At 41.1% G+C, this 26,667-nt stretch overlaps 3 gene segments (V, D, J or C) and 1 further gene, besides 6 other annotated features; all 4 read right to left on the bottom strand.

Moving 5' to 3' along the window:
* Positions 321-852, bottom strand: IGKV3D-7 (immunoglobulin kappa variable 3D-7). The segment is given in 2 exon segments: positions 321-619; positions 795-852. Coding segments are annotated over 2 exon segments (357 nt in total), but the record flags the coding sequence as incomplete, so codon positions are not given.
* The window catches only part of IGK (immunoglobulin kappa locus), a 1,378,008-nt gene continuing 1,351,661 nt past the window's right edge, over positions 321-26,667 (bottom strand).
* Positions 609-619: a sequence feature (IGKV3D-7 leader sequence).
* Positions 795-852: a sequence feature (IGKV3D-7 leader sequence).
* IGKV1D-8 (immunoglobulin kappa variable 1D-8) lies at positions 14,307-14,781 on the bottom strand. The segment is given in 2 exon segments: positions 14,307-14,602; positions 14,727-14,781. Coding segments are annotated over 2 exon segments (351 nt in total), but the record flags the coding sequence as incomplete, so codon positions are not given.
* Positions 14,598-14,602: a sequence feature (IGKV1D-8 leader sequence).
* Positions 14,727-14,781: a sequence feature (IGKV1D-8 leader sequence).
* On the bottom strand, positions 25,160-25,635 carry IGKV1D-43 (immunoglobulin kappa variable 1D-43). The segment is given in 2 exon segments: positions 25,160-25,455; positions 25,581-25,635. Coding segments are annotated over 2 exon segments (351 nt in total), but the record flags the coding sequence as incomplete, so codon positions are not given.
* Positions 25,445-25,455: a sequence feature.
* Positions 25,581-25,635: a sequence feature.

Genomic DNA, 26,667 nt, shown 5'->3' with positions numbered 1-26,667 from the left:
ATTCAAATGGAGCAGTGTAGCATGCACTGAGCTACCTCTACTGGGAAAGTTAAGAACCACTGAGGCTATATAAGGATTCATACAGTGAGTCACTATTTCTGGAAACCTGGGATTCTGGTGCCTCAGTTGAAAAGAGTCCAAGAATCAAAGTCCAAATTATTCAATGATTTTTTTTTAGAACTGCAAAATGTCCAAATAGAGCAGAGACGCTAAAACTGAGTGGCCACCACATTAGCTGTCTGTAAAGGAAGCAGCTGGTAAAATCTAGTAAACACTGATGGTCTTGTTGAGGTTTTTGTTTCATGTTGAATCACTGTGGGAGGTAAGTTATAATCCTGCTGACAGTAATAAACTGCAAAATCTTCAGGCTGCAGGCTGCTGATGGTGAGAGTGAAGTCTGTCCCAGACCCACTGCCACTGAACCTGGCTGGGATGCCAGTGGCCCTGGTGGATGCACCATAGATGAGGAGCCTGGGAGCCTGCCCAGGTTTCTGCTGGTACCAGGATAAGTAGCTGCTGCTAACACTCTGACTGGCCCTGCAGGAGAGGGTGGCTCTTTCCCCTGGAGACAAAGACAGGGTGGCTGGAGACTGTGTCATTACAATTTCTCCGGTGGTATCTGAGATTGGAAATAAAACAGAAATGCACTCATGTAATCTAGATCAAACCAGCTGTCTTTGAGTAGAGCCAAAATTGTTCATCTACTTTGAATTTTAATTATATTTCTTGCTGAGCAGAGAAAACTCCTGATGGAGTTTTCACTGATGTGCAAAACCACCTCATATTCCCCTCACCTGGGAGCCAGAGTAGCAGGAGGAAGAAGAAGCTGTGCTGGGGCTTCCATGGTTCCATCTGGGTCCTAACTGAGCAGTTCCTCCCCAGGGCTCTGACCCAGGCATTGATATGGGCCCTGGAAGGTAGGGCAGCTGGGAGGGACATGCAAAGCAGCTGGGGTGGGAGCTGGGCTTCCAGCTGCAGATACCACCTGCTTCTTCCTCTCTGCACTGAGCATCCTGCGCCGCCTTGGTTGTCAGGTCAGAAAAGTCTGTTGGCTCAGTCTGAGTGTAGAACTCCTCCCTTGTGCTCACAGAATTTCACTCCTGTGCCTTTCTTCTCTTCAATCACCTAAATACACCCGTATAATGTTTGGCACAAGTCTGTTAAGAACAATATAAAAGGCTGTGTTTTCATTTCTCTCTTCCTGTCCTCAATATGCCCAGTCATCTCCCTAAGTGCATTATTGGATCGATGGAAATGAAGAGTCTGTTAGAACTTAATCTTCCAGATACACATTTTTTTTTTTTTTTTTTTTTTTTTTTTTTTTTTTTTTGAGACGGAGTCTCACTCTGTCTTCCAGGCTAGAGGGCAGTGGTGCGATCTCCACTCACTGCAAGCTCTGCCTCCCAGGTTCACGCCATTCTCCTGCCTCAGCCTCCCGAGTGGCTGGGACTACAGGCGCCTGCCACCATGCCCAACTAATTTTTTGTATTTTTAGTAGAGACGGGGTTTCACCGTGTTAGCCAGGATGGTCTCGATCTCCTGACCTGGTGATCCACCCGCCTTGGCCTCCCAAAGTGCTGGGATTACAGGCATGAGCCACCGCGCCCGGCCCAGATACACCTTTCATTTGCTTATTAGTAATGTTTTCTGAGGGTCCTGAAGCTTTCCATTAACCCAGATACATACCCTCTTTGAGTTAAAAACTTCTGTTTACAGTCACATGTCCTGGCAGCCCTGACATAGATGCTCCATGGCTTCCCGATTGCTTGAAATTAATCAAGTAACTTAACTTCCCTGTGTCTCGGTTTCCATATCTGTGTAACTGTGACAATAGTGGTACCTGCCTTACAGTGCTGTAGACAGTTTAAAGAAAATAAGATAAAACATTTACAGTAGTATTCAGGACATTATGTGTGTGGCAATTAATTTTGTTTTCATTGTTTAAATGTTCAGCACTACAGTCATCATCATTATAAATATACTTACCATGGAAATTAGTCTTAAATCTAATCCAAGAATGTTTTATCCACAGTCAAATTAAATTCTAAGGCATTTTCTTCAGTAACTGTACACAACTCTTAAAATCCTAATGATTTGATCTTAATCTGTGCTAAAGTACTCAGACCTTCAATCATTCCCATCCATCCCTGTCTAACGCATTACTTCTCATCATCCATTATTTAAATGTTACCCTATAAACAGTTCCCATGTCCTGTTGCTGTCCTTCTTTCTTATGTAATCTTTATTCTACCTTGTTATCTTTTATGTTATTCTTGCCCCAGGACTGACAATAAGGAAAAACTACCATCATTACTTGTAGACTTGCTCCAGTATAATTTTTTCAGGCTTGTTGTCTTGGAAATGAGGACTGTGTCTTGCAAAGAAACATATTCATTGGGTCAATGTGTTATGAAATAAAAGATTTTATCTACTTATGATCCAATAATTAATTTAGACTGACTTGAACAGATTTTTAATGACAAAAAGGAGAAGACGATATAAGAGAAAAATTTAATACAATAGAAAACACAAGCTAATATAACACTTGCTTCATGGATTTTTACATGTATATTAGACATATGCTGGGTATATGTGTGCAATGATAATCTAAAAACTGAATGCTAAGTAGCTTAAGGAATGCCTGCATTACACTGAGTCTTGCCCACTTTTCCAGTTATGAAAAGAAAGCTACAGCACTATTTGTATGAGTATCAAACCTTCTAGATGCTGTGATAGAGGTAGAGAAGATTTACTGAGACCAAAGCCTTGGAAGTAGTAGATGCTTGTTCTATGATATTATGTGGTTGTGGTTGTTGTTAGGAAATACAGTGGGAGTGAAAGCAAGGAGAAGATTTACAAGCTCTGCTCTTCCTCATACTCACAACCCCCTCTAGAGATGGACAGATGTTGGTCCAGGAATCTCTGACACCTCTTAGAAGCCTTTTGCTCTTTCCAGAATGTTTCCTGACAAGTATTGTTTTGAGTCACAGATTAGGTGAAACTAGGTGTAGAAGAAAGGACTAGAGCAAGGGAAGAAGTTTTCCATCCCAGACAGTTGTAGGAACAGGGAAATTGAATTTTTCATAGATTTATGTGATACTTGTATCATGTTGGGGAGAGAGGCATCAAACCAGGCTCATTACTGAAAGAATTATTATGTTATTTAAGAGAGAAAGAACTGTGAATTTCTTGTCAAATAGATGTTTAAAATTCAAAGCTACTGATTTTTTTTTTTTTTTTTTTTTTTTGGAGATAGAATCTCACTCTGTCACCCAGGCTGGAGTGCAGTGGCACAATCTTGGCTCGCTGCAACCTCCATCTCTCCATTTAAAGCAATTCTCCTGCCTCAGCCTCCCAAGTAGCTGGGATTACAGGTGTGTGCCAACATACCCAGCTAATTTTCATATTTTTAGTAGAGACGGGGTTTTGCCATGTTGGCCCGGCTGGTCTCAAACTCCTGACCTCAGGTGATCTGCCTGCCTCGGCTTCCCAAAGTGCTGGAATTGTAGGATTGAGCCACTGCGCCTGGCCCTACTGATGTATTAATATTATTCATCTTCTTGAATACAACAAGTGGTAAAGTGCAAATCCACACTTTAAACTTGAGATTTCTACTCCTATGTGAATTATACTAGTGAGGAACAAAAAAATTCTCTATTGGTGGGGAGATGATGTTTGACAGCGGTCAGTTTGTGAAGCAGAGGCTTATGTCACAGGACTTTTTACAGTATTACATATAAACATGGTGAATGGCCTCAAACACAGAAGAATCAGCTTTTTTCATGAGGCATACTACCACCAAGAAAGAACTGAATTGAAACCTGTGACTACTTGATGAAGGGTGTATAAAGAAGAGGGAAAGATTTGGGAGGCCAAGGCAGGTGGACCACGAGGTCAGGAGATCAAAACCATCCTGGCTAACATGGTGAAACCCCATTTCCATTAAAAATACAAAAAAGTTAGCTGGGCGTGGTGGAGTCCCAGCTACTCGGGAGGCTGAGGCAGGAGAATGGCATGAACTGGGGAGTCGGAGGTTGCAGTGAGCCAACATTGCACCACTGCACTCCAGCCTGGGTGACAGAACAAGAATCTGTCTCAAAAAAAAAGAAGAGGGAAAGAAAAATGACACAAAACACAATATCATAAACGGAAAGGAAGAAGTCATTACACAGCCTACAGGAGTCAAAAAATAAAGAGAGGATATTATGAGTAATTTGATGTCAACTGACTTGACAAAAGTGGTGCAGGGCAGGTTCTTGGCTTCACTCAGGAAGGAATGCAGCGTAAGCTGGTGGTAGAAGAAAACAGCTTTACTGAGGTGGCAGTGTTACAGCTTTGTGACTGTTCTTGTGAAACAGAGCTACCACATAGGCGTGCCAAGAGCAGTAGCGTAGGGGCAGTTTTGCACTCATATTTATCCCCACTTTTAATGACATGCTAATAAAGGAGTGGGTTATTCAGAAATAGCTAGAAAATGAGCAATAACTTTCAGGTGTTGCCATGGCAATGGTAAACTGATATGGCAATGGTGGGCATGTGTTATGGACAGGTGCTTCCAGTGTCTCTTCCTTGTGTCAGCCAGTCTTCAATCTGGTCCTGGGTTGAGTCCCACCTACCTCCTATCTCATTGCTCCCTCAGAGATTAGATACTCCTCCTTAATCTTAAGGGGACTGCAGAAGAGCAGAGTCCCTTTTCTGTAAGTGCTTCCTGCTGACTTTATGGGGGCAGGCCTTCCCTAGCCTTTGAGGAGTAAAAATCTTTGGTACCTGAACTAAGGGGCCCAATGGCACGATGCATTCATTTGTGGGGTCAGAAGACAGAATGGGTTGGAAGACTTATGACAGACCGTATCATCTTTACATGAAATTTAGAAGACATAAACTTTACTAGGATGTTAAACAAGAAAATTATAATTGGAAGAGAGGGAAAAATTAATGCTCCTAGGTCCACCTACAGAACCATGTTATTAATCTATGTGTTTGCAAAACAACACCCTTAAGTTTTCTGTTTTATAAATGGAGGTTGTGGTGTCCACCTTTTGTGGCTGTAGGACCTTGTAAGAAACAGTTTTAATCCTGGGCAGCTGTACCCAACTAGTGGCTTCCTGAAGCCTAACAGTAATTAAGAGTAATTAAGAATATCTGATAATGGCTCCTTATTCTGGTTATTATTGATTCTTGGGGGATCATTTTGTTGTTGTTGTTGTTGTTTTGTTGTTGTTGTTGTTTTTTCTTTGAGATGGAGTCTCGCTCTGTTGCCCAGGCTAGAGTGCAGTGGCACAATCTTGGCTGGGCTCACTGGAACCTCTGCCTCCAGTTTTCAAGCTATTTTCATGCCTCAGCCTCCTGAGTGGCTGGGATTACACGCATGTACCATTTTCATGCCTCAGCCTCCTGAGTGGCTGGGATTACACGCATGTACCACCATGCCCAGCTAATTTTGTAATATTAGTAAAGATATGGTTTTGCTATGTTGGCAAGGATGATTTCAAACTCCTGGCCTAAGTGATCCGCCCATCTCAGCCTCCCAAAGTGTTGAGATGAAAACATCACAGGAGCTGATGAAAAAGGAAAAGGAGACAGCAATGATCCCAGGCCTTTTTAAAGGGAGAACAAGCTGAAAGCAGCAAAACACAACAGTTAAATCTCTAAGACACTAATCTCAGAAGTTTTAAAAGAAACTCATTATTGTATCACAGGCAAAATTTTTTGTTTTACTTGTTTTTTTTTTTTTGAGATAGAGTCTCGCTTTGTCACCCAGGCTGGAGTGCAATAGCATGATCTTGGCTCACTGCAACCTCCACCTCCTGGGTTTCAGCCATTCTCCTGCCTCAGCCTCCTGAGTCGCTAGGGTTACAGGTACATGCCACTGTGCCTGGCTAATTTTTGTATTTTTAGTAGAGACGAGGTTTTACTATGTTTGCCAGACTGGTCTTCAACTCCTGACCTCAAATGATCCTCCCACCTTGGCCTCCCAAAGTGCTGGGATTACAGGCATGGGCCACCATGCCCAGCCTTAAAGCTGTATTTTTATTAAGTAAAGCGTAGAGGAAAAAGTGTAAATAAAGTGACAGAAGGAAAACACAAGGCTGTTATGGAAAATGATAACCTTAGGGCAGAAAACAAGAAAAGGCAAACCAAGATTTCCATAGGGTGAGGCTCCAATCCACAATCCTCGGACGAATGTCAATGCTAAAAACCTTGGAGCATCCAGGGAGTGGCCAACAGTACTAAATGCTGAAAACCCAGAGTACACGAGTATCAGCCTATGAATGTCCCACACCAAATGCCAGGAAACCCTGGAGTATCCAGGGGCTGACCAGTGCAGAAAATCCTGGAGCCTCAGTGGGGTGGCCAACAATGAGCCCCAAAGGCCCGGTTGGGGCCATAGAACAATGTGACTCTGGCTTCTTAGAGTCAACAGAACAGGAGAATTCTTACATCCAAGTGTCCTGCCTTAAACAATTGCACAAACATAATTAGTAGGGACCCAAAGAAAAAACTGCAAAGCAAACACATATATCGGGGCAGAAAATAAGATAAAATGGCTGATGGATAAATAAAATGTCATTAGAGGAGAAATGACTAAGAGAAAGATCAATGAGGATGTAGTCAGGTGTGCTATGGGGGACTTCAAATGGACTATTTAGCCAAAGGCCTTATTTCCTGGATCATCTGATATAGGGAAGGTGGGTAGATGGGACACTTACAGGTGTGCAGGAGCCAAAATGGTGCCAAGCAGTCTCTAACATGAGGCCTGCATGAAGATCTCTCCAGGCTCCCCAGCTTGGGTGGGTTGAGCTCCCACGGGTGAACTGGTGCATGGAGCGGCTGGCCTGCATGAAGCAGTGGCTCTGTGGCCACTTACCTATCTGCTCAGCTCCACTGCCTGTCAGGAAAGACGATGGCTCTTCAAACAGCCTTTGGCCAGTCTTAACAGCTCTGCAATGTTAGCAACTATGTAGCTTTAATCGCTGTAGCGCCGATCTCGCCCTCTCTCACTGATCGCTGACTTGCCACTTCTCCAATAGCTGTCTCGCCCATTGCTGATCGCTATGTCCATCTTCTCACAAAATGCCATCTCTTGCTGTCTCTTGCTGTCTTGCTTCTCCACTGTTTCTGCTGTCTCACCACCACATCAAACACTGCCTCTCACCATGTCCCATTTATCCTCCCTCCTTATTAAACATCCATCTGCATGTCCAGGCCTGGCATCCCCAGGCTGATGTCTCTGTCCTGGGCCAGGTACTGGAGAGTATTGTTCCTCCAACTTCACCAATAAGCCATGGTTCTCTCAAATCAAACCTTCTTAGTGTGCCAATTTTGCCAAGAAGGTTTGCTGTGCACTGGTTGCCAACTCACCCAAATCTAGTGAGACAGAACACCCATGCACAACCAGTTACATGAAGTGGATTACTACTTACAGAGTCAGCAAGAGAGAGCACAAAGCTGCCTGGGCCTGATTGACTCTAGACCTTGCATAACACAAAAGGACCGCAGCTGAGGGACCCTGGAATGCAGCCCACCCTGGGTTTTATGTCTTAGAATCACATGACACACTGGGCTACAGTGTTGAAGGAATTCCTGTTTCTAGTAGGGACAGAAACAGAACCCAGGCTGTTCTGGCCAATCATGCCCTATCTCAGAATGTTACAGTTCCAGAACATTCTACAGTTATTCCTGAAAACTACAATCAAGAAAAGGAAGGAGACTGGGTTAATTCGTGACTAAATGGAAACTGTTCTGCAAATACCACAGTGAAATCAAAACTCAGTATTTTTGAGACTGGGTTATTTCACTTAGTGTAATGTCCTCTAGTTCCATCCATGTTGTAGCATGTGTCAGAATTTCCCTTTTTAAAACTAAATAATATGGAATAGTATGTATATTACCACATTTGGATTACCAGTTCCCTCCTTTGTGAACATTTGAGTTGCTTCTACATTTGGCTACTGTGAATAATTTGCTTCTGAATGTGGATATACAAATATCTCCTCAATTTAATGTCTTCCATTACTTGGGTATATGTCCAAAAGTGGAATTGCTGAATTATATAGTATTTCTATTTTTAATCCTTCGAGGAATTGCCATCTTGTTTCCCACAGCAGGTGGGCCATTTACATCACCACGACAGTGTCCACAGGAGTTCCAGTTCCCTAAATTCTCACCAAGACTGGTCACCCTCTGTTGGAAAAAAACATTCTAACAGGCATCAGGTGGGTTTTGTTTTAATTTTTCTAAGGATTAATAATATTGAGCATCGTTTCCTATGCTAGTTATCTAAATATCCCCAAAGTATCTTCTTTAGGGAAATGTCTATTCATATACTTTTCTCATTTTTAATCAGTTATTTTATTTTTACTGTTGACAAGTAGAATTTATTTTTGTATAGTAGATATTATTAACCCCTTATCAGATATGATTTTCAAATATTTTCTTCTATTCCACATGTTGCATTTTCACTGTGTAGGTTTTATCTTTTGATGCCCATTTTAAATTTTTATGTAGTCCAATTTATTTTTTTTTCTACTTTTGCCTGTATTTTGGTGTTAAAGGTGTTAGTATTTAAATGTCTGTAAATATTCACTTACTACGCTGAGAATGTCACACTTCACCTTCTCTCTCTGATGGTGGAGCTAAGAGTGTTACACTCTCCCATTTTGTCCTAGGGGACAGTGAAGCTAGGTGAGAACCCAGTGGCTTTTCTGAGCTTATTTGTCTTGCGTTTTTGGTGACATGGATTATTGTTCACATCAGCTTCCTCTGGCAAGTCCACCTGGAAAGCATTATATTTAGCAAGAAAAAAGGAGGCTGTGAATGATGTCACTGTAAGCTGTTTATATTCCCTGTTGCAAATGTCAAATCCGTGAAGCATAAAGGGATTTACTAGAGGATATTAAATTCCTTAGAAATTGTTGAAAAGCCTTAAGCAACAGGCTCCAGGCAAAGCCTCTGGAACAATTCCAAGAATGGCACTGCTGGCGCAGGCTGGGGAGGAGCTCCTGCTGCCTGAGACTCCACATTCAAGCTGTCTCCTGCAGGAAAGAGAGCAGCTCTTCTCACTACTGCCCCCCGAAGGACAGCTGCTCCGCTATCAACTGCTAGAGACCTGACCCCTTTCTCTGCAGACCTGACTGTGTTGATTACATCTTCATTTCAGTCTCATGTAGATTCATCTGTTTTCATGGATTCAGGGGCTATTTCTGCCCAAGTCCACCCTGTGGCTTTCTATCATAACTACACATCTTTCTACACTTGAATTTCTAGTCATTACTAGTATCAACAGCAACATGCTAGAACCTCACATAAAGATTTCCTTTACAAAGAACATCATGCTCCCCACGTAGAATTGTGCTCCCCAAAATGTGGGGAAAGTCCAATCTGTTCAGCCCAACACCATGTAGGATAAAAGGATCTTCTCTCATGAGCCGTTAATCTGTCTACTTATTATTTAATTTGTGGGCTAAACTATAAAGATTGGTAAAAATAGCACTTTGAATTCTTTTGGCAAAAGGGTGTAAAGAAAAGATTAAATTATTTAACATGACTCATTTCGTTATTGTCACCAGCTTCTTTCATATTTATTTTATTCTCTAGTTTCTGGCAATACTTTCTCTATGGTAGAGTCTGGAAAGGCTACTCCTCATGTCCTTGGCTTCCTAAGTCCCAGATGTGGTGAAGAATGCCCATCAACTGTGCTACTACAGAGTGCTTTTGGATTGAGATGAGGGAGGAGAAATGGCTGAACTCACTCAAATGTGATCATTTTCTTGGTCTAGGTCACAGCCAGGCAACACAGTCCTCTGGGCACAATATCATCACTTGCCATGTTTCTATCAAAATGAAAGTATCTTTCTTGACTGTGGAAAACATAGGGGTGGGGGCGGGGAGGGTCAAGTAATAGCAAAAGGAGTACTTGGAGTTGCCTGAGCTGCCACTCTGGTTTCCCCAAATGTTTTCAATCCATTTCATTCATGATAATAAACACCTTTCTGCCTAACCAGTCATAATGACTTTTCTCAGATCCAACTGATTCAGTGATAAACCTATAGAGAAAAAATAAATACACTTCTCCATGTTTGAGCTGACCAGGATGCTGTCCCTGGTGTTTGCACCTCCATATCCCACTATGCGTTTCATCTTCTCTTTGCCTCACTGGTGATCCAAGTACAGGGAATGCTTCACATGACTGTGATCCCTAGAACTTCATCCTGATGACGGTTGAAATCTTCTCTGAGTTTTACCAGTGGAAATGGCAATAAATAGAAACATTCCAGAAGGTCCCCTAGGTTCCATATTTTCTGTACTTCCTCTCTAAAATATGTAAAATCAATTATGTTTGCTCTTGCTTTTATGGACTATATCTATGGCCCCAGCACACATCCTAATGTCCTGTCTTGACAATTTATCCAGTATTTTAATAAATGTAAATGGTCACATGCTTATCATATCATTTCTTCCAATTTCATGGAATAATTTCACATCAACTCTTTGGATTAAGAGCCGTCAACCAGAAAACCACAGCCCTGAATAAATAGAAATAGAGTATTTCAAGCTGTTCATTTGGCATAACAATGATGAGTCTACAGCTCATTTTCAAGATATAAATATTCTGTTTATGGGAGTGACAGCACCATTCATACAGTTACTGTTTCAGAGCCTCCACCATATCTGACAGGACAGCAATTCAATAGCAGAAGGGTTTGTGTGCCAGCTTTGCTTGACTAATAATGGGTTTTTCTCTGTCCATAGGGAAAGCACATGACAAGAGCATGAGCTACACTTCACTTCACTTTTTTTGAGGTTAATAAGTTGCTTGATCCAAAGCTATATTACAGAAGAACTTCCTGACTCTGATGAAAGCTCTTGGAAAATCCTCAAATAATATTTTATGCAGAAATATAACCAAAAAGGAAGGCAAATTCATATATAGGAAAATAACCAGTGCCCTCCTCACGTTACATGAGGTCTACTAGTATCACCCGACACCAGCTGTTAGTCTGGGCCCTGATGTGTGGCGCAATGTTAGGGGTTCAAGAGACGTTATTCTTCTTGACAAAATAGGTGTTCAGAAGAGCCAGTAGCCCTGTATGTCTCAGTTAGTTGAAACTCATATTATTGAGTCCCCACAGGGACCTCCATAACCTTGGTTCAGGAGACACCTTGGAAACCTGGGAAAGGTGATTGACTGAAGTCCATCTGTTGAATCATCCTCATTATTAAAAGCCTCCTACTCATTAACGGCATTTCGATTAATATTCACTTGGAAAGCATGTTTTTATTTTGGCTCATTTTTGAAACGTCTAGTCATAGTTCTTTCTGAATCACTTTGTCTGAAATCATCCTGTTGCATTTCTTTTAAGGGCTGATGATCTGTCAAAAGCAACAGCCAATATTATTACATTGCTGTTCTCTTTGCAATGTTATCATCAGATGTAATCCTTGCAGGTTAACCACTGTTACGAATTTTACATTTCCAGGGATTTCTTGACAATGGCACTGATGTGACGCCATCCAGCATCTATTTGTGAGAACTCTATTTGACAAATCATCACTGTGGGTGTGAACATAATGGAGACTTTCATAGGATGCTATGGTTAATATTCAACTTTAGTCAAAATTTACTCTAGTCCTACCCTTGGAGCTCTACTGGGTTCGAAAAATATTTTAGATAAGGACAATCATTTCATAGAGTTTTAAAAATAAAGGCTAAAAGAAATTTTCTGTAGCAACAGTATGAACTATATGTAGCCAGCATACCCTTTTTTAATGGAATATAACAAAAATTATTTAAATGTATTTAATTTAAATAATTGTATAAATATGCATATATAATAAATAAACGTACTTAAATATAAATACTATACATGTATATTTGTAGCCAACATTTCATCAGATAAATATAGGTAGCTTTTATGTATCTTATACACATATATGCACATTTTCCACAAATAAGGTAAATTTTAATTTTTTATTGAATACTAGTTTTAATTTTGTCATTAATTTTCTCTTAATAACTTCATAATTTAATACTAAATGTTCACATTTATACCACCAACTTAAGAAAAAATCGTGTGTGTAGGTAGAGGTGTAAATACTGTATCAGGAAGGCTTTATGCATAATGATTGGTAACTGGTTAAATACACAACTCAGTGGCTGATAACAGTAAACATTTGTTTTCGTGTTCATGGATGTTCACGTTCACAATCATCTGGCTGATCAAGAAAGGGCTCAGCTGAGTGGTTTCTCTGCAGGGCACTGAGCTCATCTTCAGCCTACAGATATGAATTGTCTGAGGACGAGGCTGAACAGCAGTGACTACACATGACACAATATTCTTATGGCAGGTCACAGGAGTGAACAACATCCCAAACCAAACTGCACAGTTGAATTTAAGTCCAATAATTTCTAACATAGCTTCACATATTTTAAATATATTCCTTTATTTCAATGAGTACAAATTTTGAAGAAAATGTTTACTCCATTTAATTGTAGAGGTGTTTGATCATTCCATGGACAAATAATTATGCTTTCAACCTTTACAATTCTGAAAAGATTTGCAAATGTAAATTTGCATTAGTAAGAAAATAAAGCTGGATGTGTTTTCAACATGTGGCTTTAAATATATATATATATTTTAATGGCCTCAGTGGGGGAAAATCATTTTAACTTATGTAAATATCCCTTTTTGCCTCTCTTGTGTCCTATAAAGTTGCCCAACAAGAGGTCCTCCCATGAGATTTGGAAATCAGAAAAGGATGACTCAATATTCTCCATTGGTACCTAAGGCAGACACAGGAACAGAGGTGAGGGCTGGAGAAACACCTAGAAGGATGCTGCAGGAAGCTGAGAACATCAACACTCCCACCCCTAAACTTCCAGACAGGACTGAGGACCACATGGTTAGATAGCCCATACTTCAAGGGCAGATGCTTTCTGTTTTCTGAGTGAGCGCCATTCAATCCTGCTTCTAATATCAACTTTCCTGACTACTATATCCTTGGCTTTGAAAGGTTGTGGTCTGAACGTTAATCATAGGCATTGGTTCATTCTTGTTATACCCAAAAGAGCCAAGAAACCCAGTGGGGAAAGGCACTCAGGGTGTAAAATATTGTTTCTAGAATGCAATTGAAATAGGCCCTGTTATCCCATGGAACTAAGGTTTATGGTTTTTTGAATAAACAGAAATTGACTCCCCCAGTCTTAAAACTCAAGATAGTTACATTTGTCTTATCTGAGTTCTTTTTTCAGTAAACCAACCATCAGGGCTCCCAGATACTATCAAGGAGCTGAAACATACATATCACTGAATCCGGACACTGAGACATCAGAACCTTCACCCATTATGATTGCATAACTGACCTCTTGCTTCCTGTTGACCAAATTATCTTCCTTACCCACCCCCCAAATTCCTGTTTTCCCACATTTCGTCCCTGTTATATAAACTCTTAATTGTAGTTGATCAGGGAGATACATTCGCAAATGGTGTCCCATCTCCACGGCTGCAGTACCTGATTAAAGCCTGTTTCTTGGCAATACTTGTTTTAGAGATTGACTTTCTGTGTGGTGAGCAGCAGGGTGTACACTGAATCCCTGGCATTTTAGTAAGAAAATTCTCTGCAACCTTCACTGCTTTGGCTTCTTGTAACCTGAATTCACATTTAACTGCAACTTCTGAGATAACTTGATATAATTCTAGGATTCACTTTGTCCACCACTGCTTCCCAGTCTGAGCTTGCCAGCTCCCAACCCTTACTAGTGCCAGTGAACTTTCTCAAAATGCAAAAGGTAATATTTTCCCTTTTTCATAAAACACTAACCTTCTCTTCGTACTTCCAATATATTGAAGACCACTGAGTTTTCCTGTGTGTCCAATTTGGCAAACATTTCTTTGCAAATAAAACATTAAATTTAGAGATTCTGCTCTACATTTTATTTAGACTTCAGTAGTTTAGACTCTAATTTTCTGTATTAAGACAATTCCTGCTTAGAATATCTATAGTGGTTTCTTCTCTGTTATTTGAATTCCAACCAAAGCCCTAAACTAGACTCCTTAGGTGTCAAGATCTCTGCCTTTATTACATCAGGAGAGGCATTGCTATGTCTGTGCAGCTGGGGCTTACAAAGCAAAAGGAATTGGGTTGCAGAGGTGATTTCAGGTCCCCCTCTACCAATACCATCAGAGTGTGGCTGCATCTGAGGAACACTCTCAGGCAATGAAGGAATCAGGAGGAGCAGCTGGGGCAGCCCAGCCTTACACATCTGCTTCCCTGGGGGTTTTTGTTCGGGTGTGTAACACTGTGGGAGGGAAACTATAATACTGTTGACAGTAATAAGTTGCAAAATCTTCAGACTGCAGGCAGCTGATGGTGAGAGTGAAATCTGTCCCAGATCCACTGCCACTGAACCTTGATGGGACCCCACTTTGCAAAGTGGATGCAGCATAGATCAGGAGCTCAGGGGCTTTCCCTGGTTTTTGCTGATACCAGGCTAAATAACTGCTAATGCCCTGACTCATCCGACAACTGATGGTGACTCTGTCTCCTGTAGATGCAGAGAGTAAGGATGGAGACTGGGTCATCCAGATGGCACATCTGGCACCTGAGATTGGAAACATAAAAACAAATATCCATACAATTAATCATGTAGTAAGAGAATTTCCCTGAAGGGCCAGGCTGTACTGAGCACATTGGCTGAGTAAATTCCTAGTGTTCTCCTTCCTTACCTGGGAGCCAGAGCAGCAGGAGCCCCAGGAGCTGAGCGGGGACCCTCATGTCCATGCTGTGTCCTGACTGGGTCTGACTCCTGCATGAAGTGTGGCCAGCCTATTAATAAGGCTTCAGTGCAGGAGGTTGTGCTCTGGGAACATGCAAATGAGCAGGGGATGGGGCTGACTGGGCACAGCTGCAGAGCTGGCTCATCTCAGTAACTCAGCACCAGCTCAGTGTCCCCAGGTGTCCCAGGAAAGACCAGGGTAGCACAAATTTGTCTGCAGTGAATGTGTTTCTACTGGAGAGTAGTTTGTTATGAGAAACATTTTTTATGTATTTTTTTGAAAATTTGAAATATTCCTCAGGAGTCGACGGAGTAATGTATTTCATTGGTGTATGGGGATTATTTAGAATATCTTGTTTGTAGGAAATACATAGTAAAATGTTAAACAGTATGATTCTCAGGACTTCAAAAGACTCTCATATGATTCGGGTTAGGGAAGGAGGTACTTTGTCCTATACTTGCAACATTTCTGTGAGCTTTAACATTGTTCCTTTCTAAAAATATTAAAAATAAAATTTATTGACATGATGCTATACATATTTGTAAGTATTAGGTAATGGTGTTATGCCATTGTTCTTATCACTATAAGATCAAGCAATTTACTACAGATACAGAGAGATGATACCGAGTTTCCTCAATGCATGCAGCACTCACACATCCACCATTATCAAGAGCTACAGGTCTCTTTAATACCCAGAGACTAAATTCACTTCACCTTATTCTTGTTTTGGGCACCTTCATTGTCTACCTTCTTTTCTGTCATTGAGTATTACTTTCCAAAGTTCTTCTCTCTTATTGAGGGTGACCACTGCATGGAGCATGTCCCTGTCATGCACCAACAATGCCACTTTCTTCTTTTACGTTTTATCAGGGACATCATCCTGACCCAGACACCAGCCTCCCTGTTAACATCTTTAGGAAAGAGACAATCCCTTATCAAGCAATTGCCAACTTACATGGAGAAATCAGCTGGATCCATATGAACCTGGACATGGATTTGCACTCATTATATCTCACATCTCTACTGTGCCAAAAATGTCCCAGCCTGGCTTAGTAGCAGGGGACGTGGATCCAACTACATCAGCATCAGTGGGCTGCAGCCTAGGACTCCACAAAATTTTACTGATGCCTGACTAGGGGAGACAAATCACAGTGCTGTAGCCCAAGCACAAACCTTCCTGCTGTTTTGTAAGCCACCTGAATTTTAAGGGAACTTGCTTATATTGGGAGAAAGGAAGAAAGCTCCATTTGTCCTCTAAATGTTTGCTGAAAATGAACTGACAAAAGAAAGACTAATAAGAGAAAAGGCAAGCAAAATTCACTTAAAGTGCAGTGGGATATCATAGCGGTGTGATTACTCAGATAACTCAATGAGATCCAGTTTTTCATACTTCCTTTCTAGCGAAGAGGTAATTGGGAAGTGTAGGCAACCTGGAGAGAATAGATGAGGATAGAAGTGCATCCTCAAAAGAACAGGCCTGTCTGGATAAAACATCAACTTCTAATCTCTTCTATTTTTGATTCCTATTTTGTGTTAATCTTCCCTGATATAAAATTTCCCAGGAAGAATTTTCTTGACAATCAGTTTCCTTCTGGAGAAGCTGCTTTTAAGCAGATAAAGGAGTGAGATAAAGGAGTGGAGTGAGCATACCCCAACAGCTAAAACTCACAAGTTAGAGGATTTATAAGTCAGACTCTAAGTCTCAGATTTTGTACCGCTCTCTTGCTTCATAAAAATACTTTGTTATTTTTTAAATTTTACTTTAAAGAAGGACAATTTTGGAGAATATATTAATTTTTGGTGGAATGAATAATGTCCCCACCCCAAAAGATATCCAGGTCCTCGTCTCTGGAACCCAAGTTTTATAGGAGTTATTAAGAAATTATTTTAGGCAGATAGAGAGGAAAAGGCATCCTTGGTAAGATTTTGTTTCTTTTAAAGCAACTCCAGACATGTTTCTTGTCTAATAGGAAAGCTCCGGCTCTTAGAGCCAGGCTGGCAAGATTTGATATGCAAATGAAGGCCATTAGAAACTGGGTCCACCCTAACATGGCTATTCCTACCTTCTTCTTCCTTGCCCCTACATGTGCCTGGCAACATGGCTGCCCCCACATATCCCCATGTGCGTAGAACATTATGATGCCCTACATGTGCATATTGAAAGGCTAGGGTGGGAGGGCCAGTTTTTGCTCAGGCTATGTGAATAACATGCCTGGTCAAACCAATCCCTTGAGCCCTTTGCAAATCAGACACCACCTCCTTCATTCTCCTCATATAAGCAGCCACTTTTCCACCACAGATGGACTTTTCTCTTTGTTGGAATCCCCTGTCCCTCTGTCTCTGTACAGGGTAGCTGTTTAGCCATTTTATTATTCCTTCCTTCTTACGTATTAAACTTTTCTCTCCTTAAAACCACTACACATCTTTCTGTGGCATTTTATCCAAAGCAGTGTGAGACAGAAAGAACCCTGCTGTTCCTCCAGTCATTGGAGCCATATCATAAGGATTCTACCTTATGATAGATAGCAAAAAATGACCTTGATAGATGTAAGTTAAGGACTTTGAGAATAAGCTTCCTGGTTATCCAGATGAAATCAATACAATCACAAAGGTCCTTAAAATAGAGGAGGAAGATTGCAGTCAGGGAGGAGCTGGGACAATGGGGACGGATGTTGTTTGAGGAAGGAAGGGGCCATGGAACCAGAAATATGGGAGCACATTGAAGATAAGAAGCAGAGAATCCAGTTCTCTCCTCTGGAGCCTCCAGAAGGATTACAGCCCTACTGACACCTTAGCATTAGCTCAGTGAGACTTCTGACCTGCAGAACTACAGGGTAATACATTTATGTTGTGTGAAGCCAATAAGACTGTGGCAATTTAAACAGCAGCGTTGGAAACTAATGCAAGGGGAAGAGGTGTCTTTCAGCTCACTGAGTGCATGGCTGTCCTCTGTTCTTGGAAATATTTCCACCTTGTTATCTGGTGTCAGACAAGAGACAGAGAAAATTTTTTTTCTGAGAGAAGAGCTCGTACAAAAATTCTTTTTAGCTAGAAATTCTCTTGGGAAAATCCCATGATTATCTCTTATACGATCTGGGTATCACGGAGTTTAGGGGTCAGAACTCACAGCACATGATAGGAAGAAGAGGGTTTTGTTAGTTTGTTTTCATATTAGGAGGGAAAATTAGATTTTCAGGACACAATCTGAGAGGGACAGACTGAGTCAGAGCTATTGTAAGAGAAAGAGGAGATGTGGAAGGAGTCAGAGCAATGAAACATGTGTCCCTGCTTCCAAATCTAAAATAAAGTCATTGATTTTAGAAGGTGAAGCAAAGCTCTTCACCTTCCATCTTCTTATGAAGGATCAAATTCTACCCAGAGTTCCTGTCCCTCCTTTACTCCCCTGACATTGCACTGTGGAGCTAATCACATGTGCCTTAATCCCTGCTCCTGTCCCGGGCTGGGAGAGGCTCACTGTCCTCACCATGCCCAGCAGGCTAGAGCTCATGCCCTAGGTACCAAAGGAGAAGAGGATGGTTTCTGTACAGGAGGTAAGAGCTTTACCACATGTTACATTTCACTATAATTCTAAGTAAAGTTGTGTGGAGAGAAGAGAACATATGGGCAACTCTGTCTGGTAGAGTTGGAAGAGGGCAGTTTCTGAGAGTGACAATGAATTCACATTTCTAAATTTTCAGATGGCAAATGCTAGCTTTAGCAATTGTGGAAATGTGGACTTTGAGTTTAAGAACAAGACAGACTTTCAGATACTGCAATAAATGAGGAGACATTTGGAATAGGGTCCTTAGCCCAGGGCTAAGGTCAGGCTGGCAGTGCCTGAGAGCTGCCAGGCACTGGCCCTGGGCTGTGGAGGAAGCAGCTGCTCTCCTGAGCCACAGGGCTGAGAATCTGAGAGGAACCACAGGCCCTGGCCACATGGCTGCCTGGCAGGGGCTTCAGGGAAGGAAACTGCTCACAAATTCAGGGGAGCTGCATTAAGCATATATCCCCCAGCCTGGCAAGAGTAAAAGTCTCAGAGACCCAGACCTTAGGGCTGGTGCTGGGATCCTGGGCTGGCTGCTGTCAGCTCTGCCCTCCCTCGTGCTAAATGACTGGGACCCTGCTGGAGCCAAAAACAGACAGTCAGCAAATGTCCTTAAAGTCTTTACTCAGCCAGACTCTATTCTGCTTGGTAAGAAAAGAAACACACGCTACACAAATAAGCATAAAATTATATGTATCTGTAATATGAATTTCTATTGTGAACTTTACATATTGAATACATATTTAAGAAATAAGTTGTATTTATATATTTGTATATACTACGTATTTATGAATAAATATGTGATGCATGTTTATATATAAAGAGATACAACTTTGGTTGCTAGTATATGGTACAGTTTTAAACTTCAATAAATTGAACATGAACATTGAAAATGAGCACTGGGTGCACCACCTCATGGCCCTCCTCACTCCAGGGCCTGAGGGTCATAAAGCTCAGGACCCTCTTCCATGTTCCCCCTGGGCTGAGAGAAGTGAACTGCCCATTGCTGAGGATCATGAGTGACCTGAGGGGGGTCTACGGAATCACAGAGCAGCAGATGCCCAGGAAATGGATAGTGGGTCTGGGCCCTGAATGGAGGGACGTTTTGTTTCCAGAGCTCAGCATAGACAAGTCCTCCTCTGAAAAGCCTTAAGGAACATGCTCCTGGCAAAGCCTCTAGAACAATTCCAAGAATGGCACTGCTGGTGCAGGCTGGGGAGGAGCTCCTGCTGCCTGAGACTCCACATTCAAGCTGTCTCCTGCAGAAAACAGAGCAGCTCTTCTCACTACTGCCCCCAGAAGGACAGCCGCTCTGCTATTGACTACTAGAAAACTGACCCCTTTCTCTGCAGACCTGCCTGTGCTGATTACATCTTCATGTCAGTCTCACATAGATTCATCTGTTTTCAAGGCTACAGGGTTTATTTCTGCCCAAGTCCATCCTGTGGCTTTCTATCATAAATGCACATCTTTGTACACTTGAATTTCCAGGCATTACTAGTATCAACCACAACAGGCTACAATCTAAAATAAATATTTTCTTTACAAAGAACATCATGCTCCCCACGTAGCATTGTGCTCCCCAAAATGTGGGGAATCTCCAATCTGTTCAGCCCAACACCGTCCAGGAAAAAATGATCTTCTCTCATGAGCCATTAATCTGTGTACATATTATTTAATATGTGGTCTATATTATAAAGGTGGCTAAAAATAGCACTTTGATTTTTTTAAAGAAAGGGTGTATTGAAAAGACTAAATTATTTAACATACATATATGAATGGCTCATTTCGTTATTGTCACCAGCTTCTTCTGTATTTATTTTATTCTCTAGTTTCTGGCAATAATTTCTCTATGGTAGAGTCTGGAAAGGCTATTCCTCATGTCCTTGGCTTCCTAAGTCCCATAGGTGGTGAAGAATGCCCATCAGATGTGTTACTACAGAGTGCTTTTGGATTGAGATGAGGGAGGGGAAGTGCCTGATCTCACTCAAATGTACTCAATTTCCTGGTCTGGGTCACAGCCAGGCAGCACAGTCTTGTGGGCACAGTATCTTCACTTGCCATGTTTCTATCAAAATGAGAGTATCTTCCTTCACTGTGGAAAACAAGGGGTGGGCAGGGTGAGGGAATAGCAAAGGGAGTACTTGGAGATCCCTAAGCTGCCACTGGTTTCTCCAAATGTTTTCAATCCATTTAATTCATGATAATAAACACCTTTCTACCTAACCAGTCATAATCGCTTTTCTCAGATCCAACTGATTCAGTGATAAATCTAAAGAGAAAAAATAAATACACTTTTCCACGTTTAAGCTGACCAGGAATGTTTCCACCTCCATATCCCACTATGCGTTTCATCTTCCCTTTGCCTCACTGGCGATCCAAGTGCAAGTAATGCTTCACATGACTGTGATCCCTAGAACTTCTACCTGATGACTGTTGACGTCTTCTCTGAGTTTTACCAGTGGAAATGGCAATAAATAGAAACATTCCAGAAGGTCCCCTAGGGTGCATATTTTCTGTACTTCCTCTCTAAGATATGTAAAATCAATTCTATTTGCTCTTGCTTTATATGAACTAGACCTATGGCCCCAGCAAACAAACTAACACCCTGTGTGGACAACTTATCCAGTATTGTATTAAGTCTAAATGTTCACATGCTTATATCATTTCTTACAATTTCTTGGGATAATTGTCATGTCAACTCTTTGGATTAAGAATCATCAACCAGGCCAGGCGTGGTGGCTCATGCCTGTAATCCCAGCACTTTGGGAGGCAGAGGCAGGCAGATCACGAGGTCAAGAGATCAAGACCTTCCTGGCCCACATGTTGAAACCCCGTTTGTAGTAAAAATACAAAAATTAGCTGGGCTACAGGTGGTGTACCCCCTGTAGTCCCAGCTACTCGGGAGGCTGAGGCAGGAGAATAGCTTAAACCTGGGAGGCAGAGGTTACGGTGAAGCCGAGATGGCGCCATTGCACTCCAGCCTGGCAGCAGAGTGAGAGTCCGTCTTAAAAAAAAAAAAGAACCATCAACCAGAAAACCACAGCCCTGAGAAAACAGAAATAGAGTATTTCAAGCTGTTCAGTTGGCGTTAACAATGGTAAGTCTACAGCTCATTTTCAAGATATATATATTCTGTTTAAGGGAGTAAAAGCACCCATCACAGTTAATGTTTCAGAGCCTCCACCACTTCTGATGGTATAGTAATTCAACAGCACAAGGGTTTGTGTGACAGCTTTGCTTGACTAATAATGGGTTTTTCCCTGTCTATAGGGAAAGTTGCACCTGTGCACAAGACAAGATCATAAGCTACACTTCGCTCTTCTTTTTTGAGGTAAATAACTTGCTTGATCCAAAGCCATTTTATGGAAGAATTTCCTGATTCTGATGAAAGCACTTGGAAAATCCTCAAATAATATTTTATGCAGAAACATAACCGATAAGAATGGCAAATTCATATATAGGAAAATAACCAGTGCTTTCCTTATGTTACCTGAGGTCCACTAGTATCACCTAATACAAGCTGTTAGTCTGAGCCCTGATGTATCATACAATGTTAGGGGTTCTTCTTGACAAATTAGATGTTCAGAAAAGCCGGTAGCCCTGTAGGTCTCAGTTAGTTGAAAGTCATATTATTGAGTCCCCACAGGGACCTCCATAACATTGGTTCATGATACTCCCTGGGGAAGCTGGGAAAGCTGACTGACTGAAGTCCATGTGTTGAATCATCCTCATTATTAAAAGCCCCCTGCTCATTAATGGCATTTTGATTAATACTCACTTGGAAAGCATTTTTTTGGATTGTGGCTCATTTTTGAAACATCTCATCATAGCTCTTCCAGAATGGCTTTGTCTGCAATCATCCTGTTGTGTTTCTTTTAAGGCCTGATGATCTGTCAAAACCAACAGCCAATATTATTAAAATCCTCTTCTCTTTGCAATGGGATCATCAGATGTAACCTTACAGATTACCCACGGTTAGGATTTTTACATTTCCAGGGCTTCCTTGACAATGGCACTGATGTGACTCCATCCAGCATCCATTGTTGTGAGGACTCTATTTGGCATATCATCATTGTGGGCATGAACTTAATGGAGATTTTCATAGGATGCAATGGTTAATATTCAACGTTAGTCAAAATTTCTTCTAGTCCTACCCTTGGAGCTCTACTGGGTTGGAAAAATATTTTCGTGTAAGGACAACCATTTGGTAGAGTTTTAAAAATAAAGGCTACCAATAAATTTTCTGTAGCAAGAGTATGAACTATTTGTGGTCCAGAATACAATTTTTTATGGAATGTAACAAAAATTATTTAAATGTATTCAATGTAGATAATAATTTTACAAATAGGCTTATATTGCATATATAATAGAAGAAACACAATTAAACATAAATACTATATATATTGTAGCCATTTTAACAAATATATATTTACTTGTACATATCTTACATACATTTATGCACATTTTTCCACAAATAAGGTAAATTTTAATTTTTTATTGAAATATTAGTTTTAATTTTGTCATTAATTTTCTTTTAATAACTTTATAATTTGATTACTAAATATTCACATTTATACCACCAATTTAAGAAAAAATACATGTGTGTATATATAGGTAGAGGTGTAAATACTGTATCAGGAAGCTTTTATGCATTAATGATTGGTAACTGGCTAAATACACAACTCAGTGACAGAAAACAATAAACATGTTTTCATGTTCATGGGTGCTCATGTTCACAATCATCTGGCCGATCAAGGAAGGGCTCAGGTAAGTGGTTTCTCTGCATGGCACTGAGCTGGTCTTCAGCCTATACATATTAATTGTCTCAGGACAAGGCTGAACGGCAGTGACTACCCATGACTCAAGATTCTTCTGGCAGGTCACAAGAGTGAACAACATCCCAAACCAAACTGCACAGTTGAGTTTAAGTCCAATAATTTCTAACATAGCTTCACACATTTTAAATATATTCCTTTATTTCAGTGAGTACAAATTTTTAAGAAAATGTTCACTCCACTTAATTATAGAGGTGTTTGATCATCCATGGACAAATAACTATGATTCCAACTTACAGTATTGAAAATATTTGCAAATGTAAATTTGCATTAATAAGAAACTGAAGCTGGATGTGTTTTCAACACGTGGCTTTAAATATAATATACTTAAATGGCCTCATGGGAGAAAATTCATTTTAACTTACATAAATATCCCTTTTTGCCTCTCTTTTGTCCCATAGAGTTGCCCAATAAGAGGTCCTTCCATGAGATTTGGAAGTCAGAAAAGGATGACTCAATATTCTCCATTGGTACCTAAGACGTCTAGACACAGGGACAGGGATGAGGACTGGAGAAACACCTGGAAAGATGCTGTAGGAAGCTGAGAGCATCAGCACCCCCGCCCCTAAGCTTCCAGACAGGACTGAGGGCCACATGGTTAGATAGCCCATACTTTAGGGGCAGATGGATTCTGTTTTCTGAGGAAGCACCAGAGAATCCTGCTTCTATTATCAGCTTTCGTGACTACTATATCCTTGGCTTTGAAAGGTTGCAGTGTGAACGTTAATTGTAGGAATTGGGTCATTCTTGACATACCCAACAGAGCCAAGAAACCAGTGGGGAAAGACACTCAGGGTGTAAAATATTGTCTGAAGAATGCAATTGAAATAGGCCCTATTATCCCATGGAAGTAATGTTTATGGTTTTTTGAATAAACATAGAAATTGACTTCCCCAGTCTTAAAACTCAAGATAGTTACATTTGTCTTATCTGAGTTCTTTTTTCAGGAAAGCCACCAAGAGGCCTCCAGATACTATCAGAGAGCTGAAACTTACATATCACTGAATCAGGACAGTGAGACGTCAGACCCTTCACACACTGTGATTGCCTCACTGACCTTCTGCTCCCTGTTGACAAAATTAACTTCATTACCCCTCTCTAATTCCTGTTTGCCCACATTTCTTCCCTGCTATATAACCCCCTAATTTTAGTTTGTCAGGGAGATACATTTGAGAATGGGGTCCCATTTCCTCAGCTGCAGCACCTGATTAAAGCCTGTTTCTTGGCAATACTTGTTGTCTTACTGATTGGTTTTATATGTGGTGAGCAGCAGGATCTACACCAAATCCCTCGCACTTCAGTAACAAGATTCTCTGCAAGCTTCACTGCTTTGGCCTCTTGTAACCTGAAATCAAATTCACCTCCAACTTCTGAATAATTTAACATAATTCTAGGATTCAGTTTGTCCATCAGTGCTTACCATTCTGAGCTTGCCAGCTCCCAAAACTTTCTGGAGCCAATAAACTTTCTCAAAGAGCAATAGGTAACATTTTCCTTTTTTCATGAAACTCTAAGCTTCTCTTTGTTCTTTCAACATATTGAAGACCATTGAGTTTTTCTGTATGCCCCATTTAGCAAATATTTCTTAGCAAATAAAACATGAAATTTGAGATTCATCTCTATATTTTTATTTAGACTTCCATGGTTTATACTCTATTTCTCTGTATCAAGACAATTCCTGCTTAGAATATCTATAGTGGCTTCTTCTCTGTTACTTGAATTCCAAGTGAAGCCATAAACTAGACTCCTCAGGTGTCATGATCCCTGCCTTTTTTAAATCAGGAGAGGAACTGTTATGTCTGTGCACCTGGTGCTAAGAAAGAAAAAGAAATTGGGATGCAGAGGTGACTTCACATCCCCCTCTACCAACACCATCAGAGTGTGGCTGCATCTGAGGAACACTCTTAGCCGATGGAGACATCAGGAGGAGCAGCTGGGGCAGCCCAGCCTCACACATCTCTTTCCCTGGGGGTTTTTGTTTGGGTGTGTAACACTGTGGGAGGGGTACTATAATACTGTTGACAGTAATAAGTTGCAAAATCTTCAGGCTGCAGGCTGCTGATGGTGAGAGTGTAATCCGTCCCAGATCCACTGCCGCTGAACCTTGATGGGACCCCACTTTGCAAACTGGATGCATAATAGATGAAGAGCTTAGGGGCTTTTGCTGGTTTTTGCTGATACCAGGCTAAATAACTGCTAATGCCCTGACTGGCCCAGCAAGTGATGGTGACTCTGTCTCCTACAGATGCAGACAGGGAGAATGGAGACTGGGTCATCCGGATGGCACATCTGGCACCTGAGATTGGAAATATAAACACAAATGTCCATACAATTAATCATGTTGTAAGAGAACTTCCCTCAAGAGCCAGGCTGTACGGAACACACTGGGCTGAGTAAACTGCTAGGGTTCTCCTTCCTTACCTGGGAACCAGAGCAGCAGGAGCCCCAGGCGCTGAGCGGGCACCCTCATGTCCATGCTGTGTCCTGACTGGGTCTGACTCCTGCATGAAGTGTGACCAGCGCATTAATAAGTCTTCAGGGTAGGAGGATGTGCTCTGGGAACATGCAAATTAGCAGGGGGCAAGGCAGGCTGGGCACAGCTGCAGGGCTGGTTCATCTCAGTAACTCAGCACCAGCTCAGTGTCCCCAGGTGTCCCAGAAAAGACCAGGGTAGCACAAATTTGTCTGCAGTGATGTGTTCTACTTTGGACTATTTTGTTATGAGAAGTATTTTTTAGGTATTTTTTGACAATTTGAAATATTCCTCAGGAGTCGAAGGAGTAATGTGTTTCATTGGTGTATGGGGATTATTTAGGAGAATATTCTTGTTTGTAGGAAATACATAGTAAAATGTTAAACGGTACTATTCTCAGGTCTTCAAAGGACTCTCACATGATTCCGGTTAGGCAAGGGGGTACTTTGTGCTACATTTGCAACATTACTGTGAGTTTAACATTGTTTCTTTCTAAAAAAAAATTAAAAATAAAATTTATTGACATGATGCTATATATATTTGTAAGTATTAGGTAATGGTATTATGCCATTGTTCTTACCACTATAAGATCAAGCAATTTACTACAGATACACAGAGATGATACCGTGTTTCCTCAATGCATGCAGCACTCACACATCCACCATTATCAAGAGCTACAGGTCTTTTTAATACCAGAGACTAAATGCGCTGCACCGTATTCTTGTTTTGGGCACCTTCATAGTCTACCTTCTTTTCTGTCATTGAGTATCTTTTCCTAAAGTTTATCTCTCTTAGTGAGGTCGGCCACTGCACAGAGCATGTCCCTGCCATGCACCATCAATGACACTTTCCTCTTTTACATTTTATCAGTGACTGGGGACATCATCATGACCCAGACACCAGCCTGCTTGTTACCATTTTTAGGAAAGAGACAGTCAATCTCTTATCAAGCAATTTCCCATGTACATGGAGAAATCAGTTGGATCCAGATGAAACTGGACACGATTTTCACTCGTTATATCTCACATCTCTAAT

Source organism: Homo sapiens, chromosome 2 (assembly GCF_000001405.40).
Source record: "Homo sapiens chromosome 2, GRCh38.p14 Primary Assembly".
Lineage (NCBI taxonomy): Eukaryota > Metazoa > Chordata > Mammalia > Primates > Hominidae > Homo > Homo sapiens.
Note: the sequence above shows the minus strand (reverse complement) of the source record. Positions and strands in the feature narration are given on the sequence as shown.